General features: G+C 47.8%; 1 protein-coding gene and 1 long non-coding RNA gene across 3 annotated transcripts, besides 11 other annotated features; one reads left to right on the top strand and one right to left on the bottom strand.

Moving 5' to 3' along the window:
* Window positions 3,655-4,202: an enhancer, noted in NCBI's record as "H3K4me1 hESC enhancer chr1:182585475-182586022 (GRCh37/hg19 assembly coordinates)". NCBI's record gives its function as "activates a minimal SCP1, AML or CMV promoter by ChIP-STARR-seq in primed H9 embryonic stem cells {active_cell/tissue: H9 hESC(primed)}" and the evidence as "EXISTENCE:reporter gene assay evidence [ECO:0000049][PMID:30033119]".
* On the bottom strand, window positions 3,913-5,402 carry LINC01686 (long intergenic non-protein coding RNA 1686). Its single transcript, NR_036490.1, has one exon. It is a non-coding gene; the product is annotated as a long intergenic non-protein coding RNA 1686 (long non-coding RNA).
* Window positions 4,200-4,309: an enhancer, noted in NCBI's record as "active region_2204". NCBI's record gives its function as "activates an Ori minimal core promoter by ATAC-STARR-seq in GM12878 lymphoblastoid cells {active_cell/tissue: GM12878}" and the evidence as "EXISTENCE:reporter gene assay evidence [ECO:0000049][PMID:35858748]".
* Window positions 4,200-4,751: a biological region, named in NCBI's record as "H3K4me1 hESC enhancer GRCh37_chr1:182584926-182585474".
* Window positions 4,203-4,751: an enhancer, noted in NCBI's record as "H3K4me1 hESC enhancer chr1:182584926-182585474 (GRCh37/hg19 assembly coordinates)". NCBI's record gives its function as "activates a minimal SCP1, AML or CMV promoter by ChIP-STARR-seq in primed H9 embryonic stem cells {active_cell/tissue: H9 hESC(primed)}" and the evidence as "EXISTENCE:reporter gene assay evidence [ECO:0000049][PMID:30033119]".
* Window positions 4,780-5,677: an enhancer, noted in NCBI's record as "H3K27ac-H3K4me1 hESC enhancer chr1:182584000-182584897 (GRCh37/hg19 assembly coordinates)". NCBI's record gives its function as "activates a minimal SCP1, AML or CMV promoter by ChIP-STARR-seq in primed H9 embryonic stem cells {active_cell/tissue: H9 hESC(primed)}" and the evidence as "EXISTENCE:reporter gene assay evidence [ECO:0000049][PMID:30033119]".
* Window positions 8,629-8,768: an enhancer, noted in NCBI's record as "active region_2203". NCBI's record gives its function as "activates an Ori minimal core promoter by ATAC-STARR-seq in GM12878 lymphoblastoid cells {active_cell/tissue: GM12878}" and the evidence as "EXISTENCE:reporter gene assay evidence [ECO:0000049][PMID:35858748]".
* Window positions 15,839-15,918: an enhancer, noted in NCBI's record as "active region_2202". NCBI's record gives its function as "activates an Ori minimal core promoter by ATAC-STARR-seq in GM12878 lymphoblastoid cells {active_cell/tissue: GM12878}" and the evidence as "EXISTENCE:reporter gene assay evidence [ECO:0000049][PMID:35858748]".
* Window positions 16,153-21,919, top strand: RGS16 (regulator of G protein signaling 16). Of its 2 annotated transcripts, none has more exons than XM_024448796.1 (5): window positions 16,153-16,326; window positions 17,203-17,313; window positions 18,061-18,122; window positions 18,410-18,576; window positions 20,029-21,919. In XM_024448796.1, the coding sequence occupies exons 1-5, from the start codon at window positions 16,283-16,285 to the stop codon at window positions 20,248-20,250; spliced, it is 606 nt and encodes a 201-aa protein (XP_024304564.1). In that variant the 5' UTR covers window positions 16,153-16,282; the 3' UTR covers window positions 20,251-21,919. The 2 variants fall into 2 exon arrangements, with proteins under 2 accessions (XP_024304564.1, NP_002919.3); NM_002928.4 differs by having other exon boundaries at window positions 18,058-18,122.
* Window positions 16,389-16,438: an enhancer, noted in NCBI's record as "active region_2201". NCBI's record gives its function as "activates an Ori minimal core promoter by ATAC-STARR-seq in GM12878 lymphoblastoid cells {active_cell/tissue: GM12878}" and the evidence as "EXISTENCE:reporter gene assay evidence [ECO:0000049][PMID:35858748]".
* Window positions 16,529-16,588: an enhancer, noted in NCBI's record as "active region_2200". NCBI's record gives its function as "activates an Ori minimal core promoter by ATAC-STARR-seq in GM12878 lymphoblastoid cells {active_cell/tissue: GM12878}" and the evidence as "EXISTENCE:reporter gene assay evidence [ECO:0000049][PMID:35858748]".
* Window positions 18,639-18,698: a silencer, noted in NCBI's record as "silent region_1620". NCBI's record gives its function as "represses an Ori minimal core promoter by ATAC-STARR-seq in GM12878 lymphoblastoid cells {active_cell/tissue: GM12878}" and the evidence as "EXISTENCE:reporter gene assay evidence [ECO:0000049][PMID:35858748]".
* Window positions 19,009-19,058: an enhancer, noted in NCBI's record as "active region_2199". NCBI's record gives its function as "activates an Ori minimal core promoter by ATAC-STARR-seq in GM12878 lymphoblastoid cells {active_cell/tissue: GM12878}" and the evidence as "EXISTENCE:reporter gene assay evidence [ECO:0000049][PMID:35858748]".
* Window positions 21,920-25,323: the final 3,404 nt, after the last annotated feature.

The raw sequence follows: 25,323 nt of genomic DNA, 5'->3' as shown, positions 1-25,323 counted from the left end.
CTCCATCTCAAAAAAAATTTATTATATTATTTAAAATATAATTATTATTATTTTCACTTAGAACCTTGGAAGTGTTCAATGTTATTATTGAGAAGACTGATGTTATTTCAATTCCTGTGTATTGTTTGTGGTCTGTTCCCCAATCCCCCTCAATCCCCCGGTCTCTAGGTTCTTAGGACCACCTTTGTATCCTAGGGTTCTGAATTTATAATGATGTCTGGGTTTTTGTATTCAATATGAGCTGAGCGCGTGGTAGCCCGGTCAGTGTGGAGACTGACACTTTGGGGATGGTTTGCTTATAGGATTTCTTTGATAATTTCCTCCCCACTGTTTTTTCTGGCATTCGTATTAGTTATAAATGAAACGTCTTGGCTTTATCCTTTAATTTTCTTTCTTTCTTTTTTTTTTTTTTTTTTGAGATGGAGTTTCACTCGTTACCCAGGCTGGAGTGCAATGGCGTGATCTCGGCTCACCGCAACCTCCACCTCCCAGGTTCAAGAGATACTCCTGCCTCAGCCTCCCGAGTAGCTGGGATTAGAGGCATGCGCCACTGTGCCTGGCTAATTTTATATTTTTTAGTAGAAATGGGGTTTCTCCATGTTGGTCAGGCTGGTCTCGAACTCCCGACCTCAAGTGATCCACCCACCTCGGCCTCCCAAAGTGCTGGGATTACAGGCGTGAGCCACCGTGCCCAGCTTTATCCTTTAATTTTCTAATTTATTATTTCCAATGTCCCTTTTTTTCTGACTTTCTGAAAGATTTCCTCAACATTGTTTTTGAACACTTCTGTTGATTTTTTTGGTATCACATTTTTAATTCCCAAGAGGTTATAATTTTTCTCTGTTTCTTAGAAAACAAAATTCTGTTCTTGTTTTATAGTTGCAATATTTTCTCTTATTTCCCTGAAGCTATGAATGATGGGTTTTGGTTTGTTTTAATTTGTTTCCTTTCTATTCTGTTTCCTGAATTGTTTCTGTTTCTCTTGGGTTCCCTTTTATTGTTTACTTTAGTCTCTTTCTTTCAAGTTGAGGGCTTTGCTCTAAGGTCTGGTGATCCTTGATTGTTCACTCATATTTAAAACCAAGGCAATAAGAGTGTGACTGAGAGCTCTGTGTGTATGAACAGGACTTTTACAGCAACTCACTGTTTTTTTCCATAGGGAAGCCCAAATGTCAGCATCTGGTCTCTTCTCTGGAGTGGTTTGATCTCTCCACTGGAAAGAGATTCTCCTGGGGCTGGGACATGAAGGAATAAATAGCTTCTGGATTATTAAAGCAGAAGTGGCCTGGGTCTGTTTTCCAGGGCATCCCTGCGGACTCAGCGAGAAGCTAGAGAGGATTGGCTGAGAGGGCAAGGGGTCCATAGACAGCACTGCAAGAGGTTCACACAGACCAAGAGAAATAACCGAGCAGCAGAGAGTCATCAGACTCAAGCAACATGTAGACAGGGATTGGCTATCTCAGCAGAAACCTGAGTGGACACAAGACCAAACACCAGAGGATCACTCACACCCACTATTTGGTACCTTGGCATTGTATAAAGCCTCATAATCTTGGTATCACTCATGGAGAGGTACCTTGGGAAGGTCTGATTTCTTATTTGTTTGTTTTGTTGCCTAACAGTCTGCACAAGGAAAACTCTGAGAAATCAAGTTAAGCTATAGGAAATAGAAAAAATAGTTTGTGGACTGAGATTCATAACTGGTATGCACTATTTGCATATAAACAAATGCCAAGTGTATAAAATAACAATGACATTAAATAAATTCCTAGGCTCCAAATGCAGGAATTCTGAATAGGCTTCTTAGGCTCCCTGGCTGCCCTCAGCCTCTCCATTCTGGGTCTAGGTTGTATCTCTCATTGGAGGAGGCTGAAGAATGCTTCTACTTGCATCTCTGTAGTCATATATCATCTGGGAATCACCAACTCTACAATGGGAAAGCTAAATAAATGCAGCTGAAACTGTTGACATCTCTGGAGAGAATTTCAATCTTTTAGTTTAGGAATCACACATGTGATATACATAGGCATGCACACGTGAACTGGGTTCTTAACTCTAGCCATCACGGGAAAGATGGGGGAATCAAGCTCACTTTCTTCCCAATCCCTGCCCACGGGTCTCTAGGCAGGGCCCCACTGCCTCTGGAGATGCAACCACAGTCCTAAACAGGAATCCAGGGCAGGAGTCTGACAGTTCCAGAAAGGCAGGGTGAAAAAGAGAGATGAATTCAGAGCAGTGAGGCACACAGGAAGATGCTGAAAGGGACTGGACTCTCTCCTGAGCGCTGGTGAGAAGCAGCCCTCGCTCCCCTCCTCCATCTCCCTGAAAGCCCCAGCGCTGAGACAGTGTGTCACCATTATTTTCAGCAATTCTGCTAAGTTGTGTCTCAGAGAAGGGAAAGAAAAATCTCCAGAGGTTTGCATGTTTGATTCACACCTAACACAGCAGCTGTCTGCTGCCAGGAGAAACACTTCTGTGTAGATTTCCAGCAGCAGCCGGAGACAATCCTAAACCTTATTGCCAGTTTGCCTGCCGTGTTTTCTCAGGTCTTGGGGAAAAGTGTGAATGATGTAATGCCACTCCCCACTACTTGCTAGAAATGACTCAGGCACTGGCACTTTGGGGAAAAATAGAAACCTGATCCAGGGGAGGGCACATAGCAAGAGGGGGCAGCAACCTCTCCACCACAACCAGAGGCGATATGTTTCTCTCTTCATAGGTGCACACAGATTGCAGTTCAATAATACTTTATGCTTATCTCAAAGGGGCTTAAACAGTGCCTCATTAAAATCTCATGGCAGCCTCATGATGTATACTAAAGACTCTGCTCCATATTGCAATGAGAGAAACCTAGTCCTGAAAGGTTGGCTGGGGTAGCCCGCATTTAACCAGTAATAGAAAGGCCCAGAAATCCATATTTGTTTTTACTGCCTCTATCTCTCCTCTTTTTCCTCATTCTTTTTGACCAGATTACCCCTTTTAAAGGACTGATTTATTACTACACCACTAAGTATATGCATGCAACCTGATTAATAAAAGCCAAGAAAAAAATCATATTCACAATACAAATGTCTTAGGGGATGATCTTTTTATCAAGCAGTAATTTTTTCACTTTATAAGATGATTCACCTGGGAATCCATTAATGGTGAACTTCCTTGGTATATTTAAATATTGATTTATAGATTGCTGCTTGCCAAGAAAAGTAAGGAAGTGGGGGCAATAAAACTTTAAGCTAAAGTGCCTGATTGTCAATGAGAGCTGAAGAGCAGGTGGAGATTAACAATGGTTTTTGAAATGATGATGTAATCCAATCAGTATAGAATCAATTCACAAACATTCAGCTCACATATGTGTTTGTGTAAAGTGAGCCTTACCTGTAGCAGTGTAAACCCGTAGGTGTAGAACCTCAGAGGACCTTTATGGAAGCTATGAGGGATAAAGGTCAGCGGGGTGGAGGAGTCTGCCTTGACACGGGAGGAACCAAGTGGCCTCACAGAGCTCATCTACCTGGGAGGTTGGGACGGCTGCAGTGGTCAGGGTATCAGGAGGGGTCTGTAGGTGGTGGGCAGGGTCAGGGGCTGTAGAGACCGTGGTCATAAATTCAGATGGAGTGTCCCCTCTCCCCACATGTCATGGCTGGGATTTTGGAGCAGGGATCACTTCTGTGCTGATAACTTTTTGCCTTTCCCCTTAGGAGGCAGTGTGTGCTCCCCAGAGCATTACAAACCTGAGTTCAAATTTGGGCTCCACCCCTTCTTACACCGGAGAACCTGGACAAGATTCCTAACCTCTCTAAGCCTTTAGATTATGCATTTGAAAATGGGGAGAGTAATTAACTACCTTGCAAGGGCTAGCCTCAGAAATGAAGGCTTATTTCTGTGGTAGATTTGCATATAAACAGGCACTCAAAATTAGTAGCTACTATTTTTTATTGGAAGAGAGGCTGAAATGCTATCAGGAGGGGAGAGAAAAGGCTGCACCAGCCAAACTGGGTCGTGTGTGTTTGATGGGATTTCAACAGCGTGGATGAATTGTAAGTCCCCCTCCCCACCAAGCCCTCCCCCTCCGCTGTGCTCAGGTCTGTATGCTCAGCAGCACTGGGAATGGTGCCAGAGGCTGCGCGTTTGCCCAGTACAGCTTGGAGTTTTGCATCAGAAGCAGCGGGGTGCCAATTAGGCACACTCTGGAGGTGGTGATGCAATGCAAAGAAATGGGGTGGTGGAGAATCCGCTGTGGGGTCCGCGGTGGCTGCCGCATCCGGTTTAGGGGCGGCAGAGCCAGCGGGGTGTCTGGGGAGTTCCAGCGTTGGTTGTGGAGTAGGATGTGGTGTCTAGCTTTCAGCAGTAGCACCTGTTTGGTCCTCATCAAAGTGGTTTAGAGGAGGGACTTTTGGCTGCGGAGCCTCCCTTTGTTCTTGTCTGTATTCTGAGACATCCTGATAATTCTGTGGGTTACCCCAAACTCTTAACAAAGTTTTTTCTCTTTAAGTCAGAGAGAGTCCATTTCTGCCCTTATGAACAGAAACTCCAACCCAAACCATCTTACTGAAAGTAGTTCTTCCTTTTACTCAATTCCTTTATGGGATGAATCTCCACTGACAATTATTTTACCAATTTGAAACTTGTTCATGATCTTTCTTCGCTTCCAGAATGCAAGCTACTTGAGGGACCTCGTCTGCTGTCGTCACCATGCCTTTCCCTGCCAGGCTCCTAGGAGCTGCTTGGCGGCGGGTAGTGGTTAAGCCCACAGAGGCTGGGGCCAGACTGCCTGGCTTTGAATGGTGGCTCTACAATTGTGAGATTAACAGCCCCTACTTAAGGTTGTGGGAATTAAACCAGTTAATACACGTAAAGAGCGCCAGGCACGTACTGTTTATGAATGGATGCACTTAGCAGAAATTCAGTTGAGAATAACGGTTGTTTTTCAGGATTTTAAGATCTTTGTCCCATCACCTCCACCCCCACACTCTGGGAGCGATCCTTTCCCAAGGGTCAGGCTGAAAGTTTGCCAGATTGGAATTTCGGGTCTGCTGGGTCACAGAGCCAAGGGCCCAGTCTTCAAGGTGATCTCCACTTCGGAGCACTTTATGCCGCCCACGTTTTGTTCTATAACAATCCCAAACTGGCCCTCCGAGCCTGGGAAGTCGAGTTTCTCCGAAACCACTGAGTCCTGGAGAGCCCCGCGGCCTCCCGCCCTTTCTCCGCAGCCTGAGAGGGCCAGTGGGGCCGCCGCTGCTTCCTGGAAGAGCTTCGCCTTCCGGAGCCGCAGGCCGCGGAGCTCACAAGAGCTTCGGAGCAGGGCATCTCGCGCGGACAGGGCTGGCGATGGGCAGCCGACCAAAACGCCGCGTTCCTGGTGACTGCTTTTCCCTGGCAGGCACGCGTTCGCTGCTCCGCGGCCGCGGCTCTTCCGGGGCCGAGGGCTGCGGCGCGTGAGCCGACGTCTGTGTCCTGCGCAAGCTGCTGATGGTGCCACAGAGCCCGGGGCGGCGAGCCGCGGATATTTGCTGCTCTATTTTAAGATTCTCTGTCCTGTCTGTTTCCGAGCAGTTGTCACTTGGTCAGAGGAAAGGGAAAGCGGGGGTGGAGACAGTGAGGCCCGAGCCTCGGGCGCTTATTACTTCCAGCTGGGTGGAAATTCCCATCCCTCGGAGAAGACAAGCGTGGCCCCTCTCCTCCCGCTCCTCCCACTCCTCCGCCCCCTCCCCCAAAACTGAGTGAGTCAATTCGTCGCTGGTCAGGGCAAGTCTCGCTCATTTTAATAACAAAAATAAGGATAATGCCGCACTATTTGCACAGCATCTCAGACTTTTCAGAGCACTTAAGCACTTTTCAAACACTTTCCTTTTATTTTATTTTATTTTTTTTTTGGAGACGGAGCCTCCGCTCTGTCGCCCAGGCTGGAGTGCGGTGGCGCGATCTCGGCTCACTGCAATCTCCGCCTCCCGGGTTCAAGCGATTCTCCTGCCTCAGCCTCCCGAGTAGCTGGGATTACAGGCGCACGACACCACGCCCGGCCATTTTTTTTTTTTTTGTATTTTAGTAGAGAGCGGGTTTCACCGTGTTGCCCAGGCTGGTGTTGAACTCTGGAGCTCAGGCGGTCCGCTCGCCTCGGCCTCCCAAAGTGCTAAGGTTACAGGCTTGAGCCACCGCGCCCGGCCTCAAAACACTTTTCTCCACTTATTGGCCAAGACACATTATTACTCCCTGTTTGCAAGTGAGAAAACAGAGGCACAGAGAGGTTAGTGTTTGGACATGGTCACACAGCCAGTTAATCATATGACCACAGAGGCTGGATCTCCTGAGTTTTAAACTGAGCTGTCATTCAGTCCATAGCCATTTATTGTCTTTCCTCCCAGGCACGGCGCCTTTCCTGTGCTCGCTCATGAGCTTCTGTGTTATGAAGAATGAAGCATCAAAGGGTAGTGTATGGTTAACTCTGGCGTCTTCCCACTCCGGTGGCTTATTAATTCTCAAGGACAGCCTCATAGGAGAGGATATTCAGGCATGCAAGCAGTTATTGAGTGCCTACTGTGTGCAGCTACTGTACTTTTACACAGCCTATGGGAGAAAGTTTCTTAGCACATAATTACAATGAAATGTGATTAAGTTGTTGATAATGCACAATATTAGGGAAATAGAGAAAGAGGTAATCCATGTTGTCACGGGGCAGCCTTTAAAGCGTTTCCCCCAACTTTTTATTATACAGATTTTCAGGCATGCAGAATAGTTGAAAGATTGTTATAATGACTACCACTTCAATTCAACCAGTATAGATATGTAGATGGATAGAGAGATAGATATAGATACTGCCCCAGAAGCAAAAGTTTTTCTCTGATCTTCTCTTGCCCTCCTGTCTCAGTCTCATTGTCCCACAAGGCAAGCCATAGGAACTAGGAACTAGAATTCCCCTTCTCCAAGGCAGCCGTATAAACCAGAACCCCCTTTTCCCAAAGTCAGCCATGAAACCTAAAATCATTACTCTAATTTTCTCTTCATCTTTCTGTGTAAAAACTGACCATAAAGAAATGATCTGTTCTACGTTGTTCCAGAGAGGGTCCTGCCCCACATCCAGAAGGAAGGTGTGAAAAGAAAATATCTTGGGCCCCTTCAAGCTGGGAACCGCTCAGGGCCTCCCATTCTATTCAGAGTCATCCCTCTGCTCACAGAGATAACAAAGATAGATGCATATTCTGATTGTCTCCTTTGGAAAGACTTATCAGAAACTCAAAAGAATGCAGCCATCTGTCTGTCAGCTACCTGTGACCTGGAAGGTAGGGGGCTTGGTTTGAGTTGTCTCCATCTTTCTGGATAGAGCTAATGTACTTCTTACATATATTGATTGGTGTCTCATGTCTCCCTAAAATGTATAAAACCAAGCTGTGCCCCGGCCACCTTGGGCACATGTCATCAGGACTTCCTGAGGTTGTGTCACAGGCTGGCCCTCAAACTTGGCAAAATAAACTTTCTGGACTGAGAGCTGTCTCAGATTTTCTGGGTTCACAGAGGAATGCATGCTCAGAGAGGCCAAGAAGAATCCAGACAGGCAGGCCTTGCTTGGTTTCCCCACTCAGTCTATTAGCATTAGATCATACCCTTTTTGTTCAATCATATTTCTACATGGCTGTCCATACTTTGTTGTACCCAACCATAAAAATGGACAATTTCCCCTGTGTCTTTGGGTCTTCATTTTGAAGGTTCATGTGTACTCACATTAAATAAATTTGTGTGACTTTTATCCTATTAATCAATCTGCCTCATGTCAGTGATTTTCAGTGAACCTCCAGGGAACCAAAGGCCTTGTCCTCCATAAGATGAAGAGAGTGGCCCCAGGGTCAAAGGCTGCTGAGAGCCACAGTACCTAGACCCTCTTTAAACTGCACCTAGGCAGCTAAAGTTCCTTTCCTCTGCCCCCTCTAACCCCTCCCAAGATGTGAAGGCTAGACTGAACTGTAAGAGAAGGTAAACATTCATTTTGGGAATCCTCTTGGAGCTGGGAATGTGAGCATTTCAGAACTCAGAGCAGGAAAGAACTTTTTGTAACTGTGGGAGCTGGGGATGGAGGAAGTCTGCAGAATGCGTAGCTAACTGCATGGACAGTCAGATGACCCAGTACCAAATCATGGCACGAGCCTTCCATCTCTTCCTCCATTAAGCTCTCTATGCTTCAGTTTCCCCGTCTGTAAAACAATGGTCAGAGGACCTTCTTCAGAGGTTAGTGTGAGGATTAAATGAGACGAGGACTGTAAGAGCCATAAATGTAGAGCACAGTGGAAGTGTGCACACCAGTTGTTAGTGACTATCATTGTGTTTACTGCAGCCAGGGTGTTTGGGACGCCTGGGGACTTGGATCCAGAAAGTTCCCCTGTGGTCACATTTGGAGCAGCACTACAGCTAGATGGCTGGCGGAGGAGGTGTGGCTCACCCAGGCTCAGTCACACAGCTCACCGCGTGTGCCCCCCTGCTCAAATGTGTGGGGCCTATTAGGGAGAGCTCATTTCTATCTCTGCAAAAACATCATGCACCCCCTGCTGTGCTCTTCTCTCTGTCCACCTGGGCCTGTTTCTAGGACAGCTGCTGTGTCAGGGGCTGAGGGCCTGGGAGCTTGTGAAAGGACCACCTGTTCCCATTGCTTTCTCCGGCCCTCCTCCCCCGCCGCCACTCTGCCGGCCCAGCCTCCCAGCTGCTCACACATCACACCACGTTTCTCCCTCTGCTCAGGTGTTGTGAGCACATTGTGAGAGGCATGATCCCTTCCAACTTGTCGCCACATTACAGCTAGTGTTGGTGCTTTTGTTGAGCCTCCCCTGCTTTCCTATAAAATGGTTTTTCTTCTGTGCCCCTGCACCAGACTGCCCCACCCCCACCCCCTACTCTCCCTGTTGACATGGGGACTCCTGGAAGGTGACTCAAAGGAGGAGGAGGTACCCCACAGAAAGTAGGTCCTTAACTCCCAGGAGATGACAAAGCCCCTCCCATGCCTCTGACCTGACATCTCTGCACGTGTGTGTGGTATTCACATGTTGGGGCTTGCTGTTCCTGGGGTCCTTATGTCTCATCTGTGGCCTAGGTAAGCACCTAGAAATTTCTGACTAGAACAAGGAGGAGAAATGGCCTGAAGTAGCAGCCAAGGTCCAGGGGGAGAGATGCTCAGAGGCTAGGGAACATGGGGACAAGGCATTGAATAGCCCTGGGGTTGGACCTTGTGGATAGAACTGGGTTTCTAGCCTGGCACTCCCATTCACTAGGTGTGTCACTGTGGGGAGATTACTTACGCACCGATGTCTGTTTCCCCTTCTGTACAGGTGGCATCTGTAAGGCCCTGAGTCCAGCGTTGGATCATGGAGGGCCCTAAAAATGGTAGTTTCCTTTTCTCTAAGACAGGGCCTGGAGGAAGACCAGACATCAACCTCCCAAGCTGGCTGAAATCGTCTTACTGTCTGACACAGAGCCGGGTTCTCCCTAGTACATGCTGCTCTGGAATACCTAGGAGAGGAAGAGGAAGGAGGCAAGGTAAGCTGGGGGCTTTTCACACTAAAGGCCTACAGAGGGGTAGGTGGAGTCGGCATAGGTGCCATGTGTGTTTGGTGTCTTGCTTCCGACTCTAGCTGGGCTCTGGAGCCACTGATGTCTGCTTGACCCTTCCCTGATTTTGCTCCAGTTTGCTCTGCACTGGGAGACTGCAAGCCACAGGGGGAGGGGAGTGTAAGAGGGCTGCAGAGTAATAAGTTTCACTGCATAATTCAGCCCTCCTGGGACCCGTTTCCAGAAAGCTGACTGGCTGAAGTTTAGCTGAGAATGCCTGCAATCTGGAGGATCTGGGGCAGGCAGGGTTGACAGTTAATCTCCAAGGATATTCACCATGTTTGGAGTGGGATTCATTCACTCATTATTTAATGAGTGTCTCTATTGTGTTAGACACTGCACTAGGCACCGAGATTTGGGCTCCAGACCTCCCTGAGGCTGTTTTAGACCTGTCCAAGTAAGCATCCACATCTCAAAGGCAGCTTTGGAATGGAGGAGAGAACACTGAATGTCTCTGGAAACAGAGGTAGTCTGATATGTTGAGTTTTCCAAGAAATGAGGGTGGTTGGCCACTCATAGAGGTTCTCCTCTGCGAAGGTCTTTCAGTTCCCTGCCCCTACACACACACACACACACACACACACACACACACACACACACAAACACACACAATATTTGAGAGTAAAACAATGTTCTCTCCTCACCTATTCTATATCCCCGTTCTCTTGACACAACAGTTAGGCCAAAGAGCAGAATACTTTCCTCTTGCCCACGATGTTACACATCAGCACTGGCTGTTGCCTTGGTGAGAGAATATGGTGTGGGGAGCGATGGTCAGAATCCCTCCTCTACTCCCAGATTAGGGGTGGCACCTGTTAGATTTCTTCTGGTGCTTATTTCCTTCTAGAGATAGAGGCACCATCTGGGGTGCTATGCCTGTCTGACTTTCCAGTTCTAAAATAAAAATGTGCTCCATCCTCAGTTTGCAAAGGACTAGGGGACGGGAAATATAAACATCACCTTTCAGTCATTTGCAAATCCCAGGCCTCACGTTTCCCCCCTCTAATCTTTCATTCTGACTGGCTTCTCAGGGTCTTGGAAAATCATTACAGTAAAATGCAGATTCTAATAAGCCTTGTTTCTAAGTCTTAGTGAATGGAAATGAGATACTCTCAGAAAAATGACTTTTGTGACAAAGGTGAAGAAGGCAAGGAGGAGGTATGGTGGGAAAGAGGAAGACATTTAGAAACTCAGGCTTCTTAGGTAACTCTCTTACTTCGGAAATGGAAGTGTTAAGGTGAGATGGGCCCATTTATTACTGATGACTTACTTGGTACTTTAGGGAATGCAGCAAGGTGATGGCAGGGGTGGGCAGGGGTTTGCAGAGTGGAGACAGCATGGGCTGGTGAGCACAGGGAGAGGTGGAGGAAGCTGGGCGCTGGCAGGCAGGGAAAGTTCGGGAGCCTGGAGGGAGGTAGACTATCGGGTTATAGGGTGGGGTGAAGTGGACCTTACAGTCAGGCAGGTAAGCTCACGGGTTTCAGACCACAAAACGCTAAGATCTGGGCCTGGGAAGGGCCAAGCCAGCATGTGAGAACCAAGAAAGCATAAACCTCAGAGGGCCAGGCGCCATCCCCCAGCTCTCAGGTTCCCAGGAGGATGGGGAGGAACAAAGGTCTTGGGTTTTGACACATCCCAAAGACTTTGGGAGCTGCCCCTGGTCTCCCTCCCAGGTGGGAACCAGGCTTTTCCATGAGCAAAAGAAGATGGGACAGCATGGGCTGGAAAGTGTGGCAGGGGAACACAGAGCTGAATTCTGAGTTTTCCTGAAAAAGAGATATAAAAACCCACATGCTAACAGAGGGACTTGAGCAGAGAAAGGGACTCTCCACAGCCATACTCGGGAACTGTATACACAAGGGACTGGGAAGTGAAGCAGCAGAAAAATCCAGAGCCTGTGATGACATCACAGCTAAGGGCAAAGACAGGAAGTGGAAAATGTGAATGGGGAGGGAGGAATGGAGTGAGCAAGAAAGAGAGGATACAAGGAAACAAAACTGCAGAAGACAGAAGGATGACCTGAAACATTGTGCCGTGATTCCCCAAGGATGTGCTTCATTCTTCTCATAGCAAGCCAATTCTGAGTTCTAGAAAATACCACATGGCAAGCCGACGTAGTGTTTGCTTAGGAACCCAGGTCCTGGAGTTGGACTATCTGAAATCAAAACCCAACTCGACCACCTAATAGCTTTGTGGCCATAGGCAAGTTACTTAACCAATCTCTGTTTACTCAACGTAAACAGAGTTTACTCAAATGTAAAATGGGGAAAATATATTACTGATCTTATGAGTGTAATTGTGAGCATTGAAAGAGATACTTCAAGTCAAAGCACACAGAACAGAGCCTGGCACATAGTAAGTGTTCGATAAATGTTAGCTTTTATTATTTGTGTTGAAACAGAAGCCATCTACCCAGCCAACATTTATGGAACATATGCAGAACTGAGCATGGTGATAGGGGCTGAAGATAAAAAAAGATGACCAAGGCAATAGTCCCTGCCCTCCAGGAGTGCACAGAGGAAACAGACTGTACATTGATTCTATCAGTACAGGGCAACAGGGATGGCTCAAAGGAGGCCTGGCCAACTCTGCTTGCAGATGCGGGGAGGGAGGAGGAATTAGGGATGGTATGATAGAATAGAAGGCAGTTGAGCTAGGTCTCAAAAATAGGTAGAAAAGTCAAGAAAAGTCAATACCAATGTATGGTTCTAGGACTTAGGCTAGTGGTCACCTCTGTTTAGGGGAGAAATTTGCTGGAGCAGGCATGAGGAGTGATGGAAGCCATAGCTTGATTACATATTGGTTACATGGGTGTATACATTTGTCAAAACTCATTGAATTGTACTCTTAAGATTTGTGCATTTTATTATATGTAATTGTATCTCAATATATAAGTAAAATCAGTTTATTGAAAAATATTTTTTTAACTGAGTAGTACAGGAAGGGGAAGGACCTTCAGGCCAAGAGAATTTTATGCTCAAGGGTTTGTGGGTATAAGGCAGCATGATGCCCAGGATAATGTGCCAATTGCTGAGTTTGGCTGGAATTTAGGGTGTATAAAGGATATGAGACCAAGTGGTTAGAGCCTTAGATGCCTTACAGAGGAGTCTAGACGTCATCCTCCAAGTCTAGGTTTGGGAGAAGTGGGGAGGGAGGGAAAAGAAGAAACCAGAGAGGACTAATATAGCAGCAAAGCAAGCTGCATGCAATACCCTAAACAGTAATCATTAATCATAGTAAAAGTCATTTCCTACAACCAGGCTGAATTTGGTCAACTTCTCCTACCCAGGAGGAGAGGGTGCCCAAAGTTTTTGTCATGAACCAGTGGGGAAATGTCCCCAGTGATTGCCTATTTCACTTCTGCTGGAGATGATCACTGCCTCCTCATTCAGCTGCTTCAGGATACGCTCTTAAATCTAAAAGTGGCATCCAATTGTGTCCCACAACCCTAAGTGCTTCTGCAGCATTTAATAAATTCCTTAGTCTTTCTGCACCTTTGCTGTACCTGCAAATGATAAGAGCTTTTCCTGTTTCTTTCACTTTCATGCCTCCTCCTACTTCTTCTGCTTTTCACTGGCTACCATGGCTCCATCACTTCTTTTTCAATACTGTCAACCGTCTCTAATCAGCCTCTTCCCTTGACATCTGTTTCTGTGACAAACAATAGTTTCCTTTCACTTTCCCTGCTCCCCACCATGCAGTTCTATTTCCTTAGCTAGATTATAAGGTCCTTGAATTCAGGGAAGAGCCTTAAAAGCTATTGTTTTCCCACCAACTTGGGAATATAGTAAATTCATAAGAAATATGTATTTGTAGATTGATGATTGAATTTGGAGGACCTAAACCACTGTGAGGATCATCTGAGCTAAATCAGAAAAATGGAGGAAGAGTTCTCATTTCTGCTTACCATTATCAGTAGACAAAGATCCCCATCTAGACTTCTGCCTCCATGGAAAGGGTAGTGCTGGGGGCTGGGAGCTGAAGGAGATGAAAGGCAATATGGCTGGGATGCTGTGGGACATTTAATCTTGACTACGGCTTTGCCCAGACTGCTGACCCCAGATGACCCAGGGTGCAGAGCCGTGCCCCCATGCTGCCATCCATTAAAGAGATCACATCTGCTCTGGGAGTGCTGGGCAAAAATGAGGTCAGGTTTTGTCCAAGCCAGTGCAATTCATAAGTGAGCTCAACTTGCTGGATTTACAGCAACTGTCGAGTCATCCTGCATTACCGAAACTGCAGATATGAACCGACCTGCTGGGAAGATAATTTGGGATAAATTGTGAACTTCAAAAAGTTTCTGCCTGGAAACTGAAGAGGTAACCATGGCAACAAAGAGGCAGGTTGAACTTGGAGAGGGCCGTTCATCTAGAGTAGGGAGCTTTGTGCTCTCAGATTTGCTGGTCTGTGCACTGTGCATCAATGCCTTTGTTTTTTTTGCAATGGCGCGATCTCGGCTTACTGCAACCTCTACCTCCTGGGTTCAAGAGATTCTCCTGCCTCAGCCTCCCAAGTAGCTGGGATTACAGGCACCCACCACCATGCCTGGGTATGTTTTTGTATTTTTAGTAGCGACTGGGTTTCGCCATGTTGGCCAGGCTGGTCTCGAACTCCTGACCTCAGGTGATCTGCCCGCCTCAGCCTCCCAAAGTTCTGGGATTACAGGCGTGAGCCACTGCTCCTGGCACCGTTTATTTTGCTTTCTTTATCAGAGCAGGAGAAAGTACTAGCTCAGGAATTGGGAGATAGGATCCAATTTCCAGCTATTTCCTGTTCCAGTACACTTAACTAAGAGTGCCTCAGGTGTACTTAACTAAGAGTGCCTCAGTATACACTGCCTATACTGTATTCCAAGAGGCACAAAAGACTCACTAATTTTCCTTATTGCTAGCAATCCCAGTATCCCTATTAAGTAAAACTGAAAGCTATTATAACATTTATTGACTGCTGACTACATGTTGAGCACTGTCATATAAGCACCTTATATGTTGTCACGGATGCTGTGCGGTGCCACCCAGATCCCGTCTTGGGGACTGTGATCATCATTTCCCAGGGTGTTAGTCTCTCTCCAGGAATTGCTCTTGACAAAGGGCACTGCCTTAAGATTAGGCTGTCTTCTTGGGCAGCTGTATGCAATGAATGGTCTTTATGGGGTTACCAGGGCCTTGTCCTCTTGCTTCAGTGGACAGTTCCAAAGGGCCAGCTGAGCTTCCGGGCATTCCTTGGAACCAGCTGGGGTCTCTGTTGAAATGGCATGGCCTTCAACTCCTCCCTCTGCCCAGACCTGCTTTCTTTACTCCCTCTTAATTCTGATAACTCTCCCCAGTAAACCTCCTGCATGCAAGTGTCTACCCGAGTCTAGTTCCTAGGAACTCAAACTAAGAATTAATTTATTTAGTTCTCACAACCACCTTATGAAATAAGTTGTTCTCTTCGTAGAGACAAGGAAATGGAGGCATAGAAAGGTTAAGCAGTTTGCCTCGTCTCCCATCAGTAGCCAGTTAACAGTGAACGTGGCCTTCCTGCAGCTGGGTCTTCAGCAGGTCACCTGGCAGAGCCATGACTTGAAACCTGAAAATCTAACTCTAGACCCTGTACTTTTAACCTCACATACAGCCTCTTAATAGCAATCCCAATGCCTTTATGGGAAGATGAGGTGAGAGGAAGGGCATTTATTACCTTTATGTCAGAGATGGAGACAATAAGGTATTAACTGCTTAAACCCAGGATCGTCCACAGGTATAGCCGTGACCGGGTACTAACCTTTGTGTGTGTGTGTGGTGTGTGTGTGTGTGTGTGTGTGTGTGTGTGCAATGGAAAAAGAATGGCAAATTCACATTTGAATTTTGGAGCCAACACTTACTAGCTGCACATCTTTGAGCAAGTTATTTAATAACTAAGACTTTGAGCAAGTCTTACTTATGTGCCTAGCACATAGTAGGTGTTCAATAAACTACTCATCCCTATTCCACTTTTCTGTCATCTCCAACTGTGATCTTGGACAAGTTTATTTAGCTTTCTGATTCTCGATTTCTTCATCTATAAAATGGAGATGATGATGAAGAGCTTACTTAGCCCCGTGTCCATCATGGTAAGAGCCTCGTAAAGGGTACTTATCAGTATAATCAGATGCTGTTTTGCCCAGGTTTGCACCCTGTGCGCCTGTCCTCAGGACCCAGCAGGCTCAGACTTGCCTGCGATCAAAGAAAGCCCTGTGTGCCTCCCAGACCCACCACCCCCGTGCAAACTCTCTCAACACGACACCGCTGCGTGACTTTCCTGCTGTTACTAGAGGTCGGCAGGTACTTTTCCCTAGGAAACTGGGTGTGCACGTCTCATCCCCGTGCCAATTCTCTTGCCGCTTTTCCTTCCACACGCGGCGTCCTCTGGGCGGAGGGTGCAGCTCCGCGTGCTCCAGCTGCCGCGAAAGTTGCACCCGGCCCAGTCTGGCTGCGGGCCCCGCCTCCGCCTTCTCAGCGCCCAGCCCCACCCTCCGATTGGTCAGCAGTGCCCAGCCCCGCCCCGCTCCTCCGAGGGGATTTAAAGCAGCGGCCGCTCAGTCTGGGCGCTTGCAGGCTGCTAAACCCAACCGCAGTTGACTAGCACCTGCTACCGCGCCTTTGCTTCCTGGCGCACGCGGAGCCTCCTGGAGCCTGCCACCATCCTGCCTACTACGTGCTGCCCTGCGCCCGCAGCCATGTGCCGCACCCTGGCCGCCTTCCCCACCACCTGCCTGGAGAGGTAAGGGGAGGTTGTCCAACTGCTTGGGGGAAGTCCCACCAACTCTTAGGGAGTGGAGCGGCAGGCCTGGGGACCTGGGTGGGCGCGGGGATGGGGCGCTAGAGGCTTGAGTAGAGAGGTAGAAGCGCACTTGATGCCACGTGCTCAGATTCCAGGAGCAGGGAGAAAGCAAGGGGAAGGGAAGCAAGGGCCCGCGGCTTGCTGCCATCCCCATCCTCTGACAAACTGCAGTCGTGCTCAGGTGACCTGCTGAAGACCCGGCTGCGGGAAGGCCACGTTGACATTTCCAGGCAGCACTGAGCCTGCCCATTTCTTAAGCATTTGTTTTTCATTCCTCAGACCAGAGCTAGGGGCATTGCCTCCTCTGCCCCTGGAAGACAGGGAGATTTTTTTTTTTTTGGTGGGGTGTGTGGGGGTGGGGGCTCCCACTGTTGAGGGTGTGTCCATATTCCAGAGAGCTACTCAACAGCTTCCAATCCTTACTGGCTGGGAAGGAAAAAGTAAAGATGAAGGCAGGAATCAGTTTCCCACACAGTTCAGAAATACTTCTGAAAAGAATGCTGAGTTCTTTTCTGAATCAACAGGCACGAAGAGAGATCAGTGTGACTTTAGGGAAAAGCCCATATATGCAGCGTGTGTATTACCCAGAAAGTGTAAGACCTACCACAGCATAGCTCAAACATTGCTTTTGTTGCTTTGGGGTTGATGATGCTGATAAGAGAAGCACTCTTGGCCTGGGGACAGCCAAGAGTTTCCAGGAACTCTTGAGGCTAAAGTTTGGGTGGCACCACCCAGAGCTCTTCTGGGACCCATAAACCTCTCCACACTGGCTGAGCAAATGAGAGAATGCTTTCATGTTCCTGATTTGTTTTTCAGAGCCAAAGAGTTCAAGACACGTCTGGGGATCTTTCTTCACAAATCAGAGCTGGGCTGCGATACTGGGAGTACTGGCAAGTTCGAGTGGGGCAGTAAACACAGCAAAGAGAAGTAAGTGTTGCTGACCAGCTCAGGGCTCCGAGAGGGAAGGGAGTGGGAAGGGAGTCATGAGGAGGGAAATACAGGGAGAAGCCAGGACACGCTAAGTGGACCTTGGCAACACCTCCCTAGAGATTTTAGTGGGACTTGTTGCTGGTCTGTTATGACTACTTGGCTCATGGGTGAGTGGGTAGGTGGCTCCAGGGCTCCAAGTCCATCCACGGATGAGGGCACACAGGGCATGAATGCCTAGTTCCCAGACTCTCCCACCTCGGGATTCATTGCACGTGCATCCAGGGCTAGGACAGAATCCAAGACCACTTGAAGTTTTCTAGTATGCACCTTGCCTAGAAACTCTTTCATATTGGCTATCAACTGTACCAAACTCTGGAGTTATGTGTAGATGTAATCTCTATTTATGAGGACCTTATTTCCTTGGGAAGGTGTACAAAACAAATCTTTGAGAGTCAGGGGAATTGAAATAATTTTTGGACAGAGACGAGACAGGCTTAGAGATATTGACTGAGGACTAAAGAGTCCCTGGCTTTGATTTCTGGTTGCTGAATTGTGCTCTAGAAAGCACTACTGCTTACCCTAAGTCCAACTAAGAGTTTGAGGTGTCAGCTTCAGCAATCACCAAGCAAGCCTTTCTGTGAATTTTATGCAGTTTTCCATCAGAGTTCTGGCTAGAATTTGTACTATGCTTTGGTTTGTTGATTTTTTTTCTTACTCTTTTTTTTTCTTTTTGTCTTTTAGTAGAAACTTCTCAGAAGATGTGCTGGGGTGGAGAGAGTCGTTCGACCTGCTGCTGAGCAGTAAAAGTGAGTAGGAGCCTTTTGTGTCTGTCTCTGGGTGGCACATGTGTACTCATGTGCTTTGGAGCCAGCCCCAGGACTGCTGAGAGCCTGGGCAGAATAATAGTAGTAGTAATAATAATAATAATGATCCCCTAGTGTGCCAGCCTCTATTCAACATATAAAGGCAGGTCATTGTTCAAGAAAATTATGTTCTAAAAATAGAGCCATTAATTGCAATTGCTTTCCTTTCTTCTTGTATTCCCTGCTGTCCCTCCAGCTGACCTATTTCCTCTTCTTTCCCGCAACCCCAGATGGAGTGGCTGCCTTCCACGCTTTCCTGAAGACAGAGTTCAGTGAGGAGAACCTGGAGTTCTGGCTGGCCTGTGAGGAGTTCAAGAAGATCCGATCAGCTACCAAGCTGGCCTCCAGGGCACACCAGATCTTTGAGGAGTTCATTTGCAGTGAGGCCCCTAAAGAGGTTAGAGCCCCCATATGCCCAGTGAATCCTCACGACCCTGCCTGCTCCTTCCCCTCTGAGAATCAGGGCTAGAGGGGAGGAAGGGCTAGGTGTAGAGGTAGAAGGGCCTTACTTGGCACAGGGGTGACTGGGCTTCTGTGACCAGAGACTAGGAAAGCCAGGCCCAGTGCCACTCCTGGGTGCTTAACCCTAAGACTCATGATGGGGCAGGATGTGTTGGCAGGTTTTTCGGCTTCTGTCCATACCCACCTTTATAAACCCATCCGTTTTTAGAGGCTCAAAACACTTAGCAACTGGGGAGACAAGGTCAGCACAGGGACCTTATGTAACCTGGCTCAGTCCCCAGGCTGACCTGCCTGAGGCCTGCTGGTCTGTGGTCTGTGATTTTTTTGTCTACCTTCTCTCCTGGCCGCTAAACGCATGGCAGCTGCATTTGCTAAAGAACACAGCGCCACCTGGTGGAAAGATAAGAGTAATGCCTTACTTTTGTACCTTATTTTTGTTTTCTGACCGCTGATTGATTCCACATAATTCTGTAAAGGTGTATTGAGCCCCAATTATATTCAAGACACTGTTACAGTCACTGTGTATGTCACAGTGAGCCACACAAAGTCCCTTACCTAATGAAACTTATAATTTGAATGGGGGAAGATGCCAATAACCAACTAGACAAATATATGCCAGGTGATGAGCTATGCACTCATAAAAATACAGCAGGAAATGAGAGACAGGGAGTACCAGAGGTAGGGCCTGGGAAGACGTAAGGTTTTCCATTCTGTAAAGGGAAGTGAGGACATATGAACAGAGATAAGAAAGAATTCAGGGAGGGAAGAACATTCCAACACAGGAAGCAGCAAATGCAATGGCCAGAGCCTGCCTGTCACAGTCACGGATGAGCAAATGGACCTGTGTAGAGCAGGGCAAGAGCAGGAGATGAGGTCAGGCATGAGGAGGATGGCCAGGTGTGGGCTTGGGGAGCCTCGTGGGCCCAGCAAGCCCTTTGGCTCTTCTTCTGAAAGACATGAGGAGACAACAGAGGAGCTACCAAACTGAGTTGGGTTTTTAAAGGCTCACTGTAGCGACTGGGTAGAGAACAAACCACAGGGGTGGGGGGTAAGGTAGCAGAGAGACCAGGTAGGAGGCCTTGGTGCAAATCCCAGGAGAGCTGATAGTGACTTGAAGCAGGGTTGCTGTAGAAGAAAGGGTGAAAGGGGATTGCGTTTGTATACATTCTTGATAGATCCTCATGTTAATTCTGAGAGATTGGAGGACAGACACTGGATCAGATGTGGGTACAAGCCCAGAGCTGAAAAGCTAGTGATCAACTCAGGAGCCCCCACTTCCTGATGCAGCATCCGATGCTCTTTCCAATGCCCAGCCTGCCGTTGGCCCTCCCTCAGCCATGCCCACCCTCTTCCCCAACTCACCCTGTGTGTGTCCTCCTTCCCGCAGGTCAACATTGACCATGAGACCCACGAGCTGACGAGGATGAACCTGCAGACTGCCACAGCCACATGCTTTGATGCGGCTCAGGGGAAGACACGTACCCTGATGGAGAAGGACTCCTACCCACGCTTCCTGAAGTCGCCTGCTTACCGGGACCTGGCTGCCCAAGCCTCAGCCGCCTCTGCCACTCTGTCCAGCTGCAGCCTGGACGAGCCCTCACACACCTGAGTCTCCACGGCAGTGAGGAAGCCAGCCGGGAAGAGAGGTTGAGTCACCCATCCCCGAGGTGGCTGCCCCTGTGTGGGAGGCAGGTTCTGCAAAGCAAGTGCAAGAGGACAAAAAAAAAAAAAAAAAAAAAAAAAATGCGCTCCAGCAGCCTGTTTGGGAAGCAGCAGTCTCTCCTTCAGATACTGTGGGACTCATGCTGGAGAGGAGCCGCCCACTTCCAGGACCTGTGAATAAGGGCTAATGATGAGGGTTGGTGGGGCTCTCTGTGGGGCAAAAAGGTGGTATGGGGGTTAGCACTGGCTCTCGTTCTCACCGGAGAAGGAAGTGTTCTAGTGTGGTTTAGGAAACATGTGGATAAAGGGAACCATGAAAATGAGAGGAGGAAAGACATCCAGATCAGCTGTTTTGCCTGTTGCTCAGTTGACTCTGATTGCATCCTGTTTTCCTAATTCCCAGACTGTTCTGGGCACGGAAGGGACCCTGGATGTGGAGTCTTCCCCTTTGGCCCTCCTCACTGGCCTCTGGGCTAGCCCAGAGTCCCTTAGCTTGTACCTCGTAACACTCCTGTGTGTCTGTCCAGCCTTGCAGTCATGTCAAGGCCAGCAAGCTGATGTGACTCTTGCCCCATGCGAGATATTTATACCTCAAACACTGGCCTGTGAGCCCTTTCCAAGTCAGTGGAGAGCCCTGAAAGGAGGCTCACTTGAATCCAGCTCAGTGCTCTGGGTGGCCCCCTGCAGGTGGCCCCTGACCCTGCGTTGCAGCAGGGTCCACCTGTGAGCAGGCCCGCCCTGGGGCCTCTTCCTGGATGTGCCCTCTCTGAGTTCTGTGCTGTCTCTTGGAGGCAGGGCCCAGGAGAACAAAGTGTGGAGGCCTCGGGGAGTGGCTTTTCCAGCTCTCATGCCCCGCAGTGTGGAACAAGGCAGAAAAGGATCCTAGGAAATAAGTCTCTTGGCGGTCCCTGAGAGTCCTGCTGAAATCCAGCCAGTGTTTTTTGTGGTATGAGAACAGGCAAAAAGAGATGCCCCGAGATAGAAGGGGAGCCTTGTGTTTCTTTCCTGCAGACGTGAGATGAACACTGGAGTGGGCAGAGGTGGCCCAGGACCATGGCACCCTTAGAGTGCAGAAGCTGGGGGGAGAGGCTGCTTCGAAGGGCAGGACTGGGGATAATCAGAACCTGCCTGTCACCTCAGGGCATCACTGAACAAACATTTCCTGATGGCAACTCCTGCGGCAGAGCCCAGGCTGGGGAAGTGAACTACCCAGGGCAGCCCCTTTGTGGCCCAGGATAATCAACACTGTTCTCTCTGTACCATGAGCTCCTCCAGGAGATTATTTAAGTGTATTGTATCATTGGTTTTCTGTGATTGTCATAACATTGTTTTTGTTATTGTTGGTGCTGTTGTTATTTATTATTGTAATTTCAGTTTGCCTCTACTGGAGAATCTCAGCAGGGGTTTCAGCCTGACTGTCTCCCTTTCTCTACCAGACTCTACCTCTGAATGTGCTGGGAACCTCTTGGAGCCTGTCAGGAACTCCTCACTGTTTAAATATTTATTTATTGTGACAAATGGAGCTGGTTTCCTAGATATGAATGATGTTTGCAATCCCCATTTTCCTGTTTCAGCATGTTATATTCTTATAAAATAAAAGCAAAAGTCAAATATGACATCCTGTCTTCAAGTGCTGTGTGGGTCAGGGGAAAAGGGGAAGTGTTGTGGAGAGCTCTGGGGAGGAGCTGGCTTTTGGGAATTCCACAGGACAGGCGAGTAAGCTTCCATGGCACAGGCAGAAGTACAGGGAGAGCTTGATATTCACCTGGTACCTGCCAGAGTCAAGAGAAGGGATAGGTTCTAACGAGGCTGCTATGATCAGTGACTTTTTAAGCTCGTGACAGCCCCACTTGTGTTGGGCTGTTGTGTGGATTGGACTGGGCTCAGCCCACTGTCATTTCAGAGCCCGTATCTTTTGCCCACCTGGCTGGGACTCGGCATGAGCCATTTCCAATTCTGCCTGTAACAGTGCAGGGGTCAGTACCCCTTGGTCAAGTAGCAAGACATCATCAGTTAGGTGGTGACTTTTGTAGGATTTTTACTTTTAAAAGTAATTTGTAATTAAATTCAATTACAAATCTTTTGTAATTTATATTCAAGAAATTATTATTCTTTTTATAATTTCATAGAAGTATCTGAGATGAGGTATATGAAGCCACTCTGTACATGAGGCTGCTCCATTCCATGGGCCAAGGGAATAAGGGTTGAACTGTGCTTGAAAGAATTTGGGGGTACGGAGACAGGCGCGGTGGCTCATGCCTGTGAGCACTGAGGGAGGGAGGCTGAGGAGGGTGGATCACTTAAGCCCAGGAGCTCAAGACCAGGCTGGGCAACATGGCAAAACCCAGTTTCTACAAAAAGTCAAACATTAGCAGAGTGTGGTGGCACATGCCTGTAGTCCCAGCTACTTGGGAGACTGAGGTGGGAGGATGGCTTATGCTGGGGAGGTCAAGGCTGCCATGAGCTGAGATCACTCTACCGCACTCCAGCCTGGGGGACACAGTGAGACCCTGGGGGTAGGTTTGCAAGGATCAAAATCTGTTCTTCCTCTGCTAATTGCCTGCTTGTTCTCCTTTTTCATCCTACTGAATCCCTCTCATTTTTTTCTGATTACGACTACTTAAAAAAATGTTTTCTTCTCTGTTGAATGATCTGTTTATACACAGATCTGGACCTTAAATGAACCTTTATTTCTTCCCTATTGATAGTCTGAGTAAAGTGATCAGACTTCAGGAACATGGGGTAGAAATCCCCATAGAATCACATCTTAAGCACAGATCTAAGGAGGGATTCTGTGGGTGACACCAGGGAGGATCCTGAAATTAAGGGCCTGGGAAGGAAGACAGGGACCAACACTGTGGCAGGCCCTGAGCTCTGTTAGTCCTTACAACAGCTCTGTGGAGTGGGTCTGAACACTTTATCATCCAGAGAAGGAAACAAGCTCTGAGAGGGAGGGACATGCTTGGGGCAGCCAGCCAGTGAGTGGCAGAATGGGGATCTGAACTCAGTTATGCCATGGGGAGTCCAGTCTGTGAAAGATGGGTGGAGGAATGTGACTGATAAGGGAAGGAAGAGCGGAGGACCCAGAAAGACAGGGAGGTACTAACACTCGCCCTTTCCTACTGCTCTCCTTCCATCTTTATGCCTTTAACATGCATGTATTGAGTGCATCGAAATCCCTCAGACCCAAATGCGTTGGGTCCAGCTTCTGCACAGGCTCACCAAGGCTTCCTTAGAGGACTCTCTCATCCTCTCCAATCAGATACCACAATTTCCCGGCGGGTCTCCCTACCCCAGCCTCTCCCTGTGCTGGTTCATTTTCCACACTGTGCCAGTCTTCAGCTCTAAAGCACAGATCTGAGCACTTTGTGGCTACGTTAGAACCCCTCAGCGGTTCACTTTTGACTCTAAAATAAAGTCCAGCTTTAATCCTGACACACAAGGGGGTCTCTGACCTGACCCAAGTCCCTCTCCAGACGTATCTCCTGCCTGGACAGCCTTCATTCTCAGACTTTTCCCTTCTCTCTCTCTCTCTTTTTTTTTTTTTGTGGCTACACATGCTGTTCTCTCTGCCTAGAACACCTCTTTCTCCTCTTTTTTAGAAAAAATTGGGGGTTGAGGTGCGAGGAGGAGAATGCCAACTTTCAAAATCCAGCAAAAACATCACCTCCTCAGTGAAGCCTTCCCAGATGTCCCTGTACAGAGTTAATTGCTCCCAACTTGCATGATTCTAAGACACAGTGTTCTTACTTTGATTGTAGCACATATGGTATTCCTCCATAACTTCTTTCTTCATGGCTTTTGCTCTCCTATTAAACTGAGCTCTTCAAAGTCAGGGTCATATTATTCACCTTGGTGAGATGGGGCAGAACAGACTACAGCAAAGCAGTTCTCCAGTCCCAGCTGTGGAGCCGGAATGTTGGGTTGGAATCCTGGCCATTCACCTTGGAAAGTTGCTTAAGCCTCAGCTGTAAAATGAGGATAATAAGAGTAAGCGTCACAGGGAACACTGAATGAAATAAAAGTGTGCGGCACAATGTTAATGCCTCATGACTATTGGCTATTATTATTATCTGATTCCCAGTACTTAGCACAGTGATTTGTATACAGTAGGCATTAGTCAAGTCAAAAAGTCTTTTGACTTCTTGAATAAAATGGCAGGATCAGAATTTCAACTCAGGATTCTAAATCTACTTTTTTTTTTAGCTGCTTCAGTACCATATTTTGTCTGATGTTTACAGCATTCCAGAATTTCAGAAAAAGAAATGGAAGGCTGGAGGCATTAAGTAAGCCAGGGTATTAGAGGGACCATGGGATTCCTGGAAACCAGGTCAGCCAACGCTGTTTTCAAATATGTGCCCTGTGACTGTGCGAGGCTGCTTGTCTCTCACCCTCTACTGCCTCACTGTGGCCATGCCAGGCAATGCAAGCTTTTAAAGTTTGGCTTCTTCCTTTGGAATTATACATCCAATGGCTTTCATTTGTTTCACTGTAGTTTTATTTATTAATGCATTTTAATAAACATGTGAAATTTTAACAGAAATGAGAATTATTAATATCACTACTGAGACAGCACAGCAGGTATAGGAGTTAAACCGAGATTCTTTAGTTTATAGGGATGAAATTACTTTTAAAAATGGAAGCTGTAAGGTAGAGAGAAAAAAGGTGTCAGGGGGCCGGGCGCGGTGGCTCAGGCCTGTAATCCCAGCACTTTGGGATGCTGAGGTGGGCAGATCACCTGAGGTCAGGAGTTCAAGACCAGCCTGGCTAACATGGTGAAACCCCGTTTCTACTAAAAATACAAAAAATTAGCCGGGCATGGTGGCACGCACCTGTAATCCCAGCTACTCAGGAGGCTGAGGCAGGAGAATCGCTTGAACCCAGGAGGCGGAGGTTGCAGTGAGCCGAGATCGCGCCATTGCACTCCAGCTTGGGCAACAAGAGCAAAACTTCCAATTAAAAAAAAAAGTGTCAGGGCCTATTGCCTTGCTGACTGCAAAGTAATTTACTGTCACGAATC

This window comes from Homo sapiens, chromosome 1 (assembly GCF_000001405.40).
Source record: "Homo sapiens chromosome 1, GRCh38.p14 Primary Assembly".
NCBI lineage: Eukaryota > Metazoa > Chordata > Mammalia > Primates > Hominidae > Homo > Homo sapiens.
The sequence above is the reverse complement of the archived record's forward strand: the minus strand, read 5'-3'. Positions and strand labels throughout refer to the sequence as shown.

Excerpts from the sequence above, each read along its gene's own strand:
- RGS16 (NM_002928.4), top strand. The coding sequence starts at position 16,283 with ATGTGCCGCACCCTGGCCGCCTTCCCCACCACCTGCCTGGAGAG. Across the intron at positions 18,123-18,409 it reads CCTGCTGCTGAGCAGTAAAA|ATGGAGTGGCTGCCTTCCAC; the intron begins GTGAGTAGGAGC and ends CCGCAACCCCAG. Across the intron at positions 18,577-20,028 it reads GCAGTGAGGCCCCTAAAGAG|GTCAACATTGACCATGAGAC; the intron begins GTTAGAGCCCCC and ends TCCTTCCCGCAG.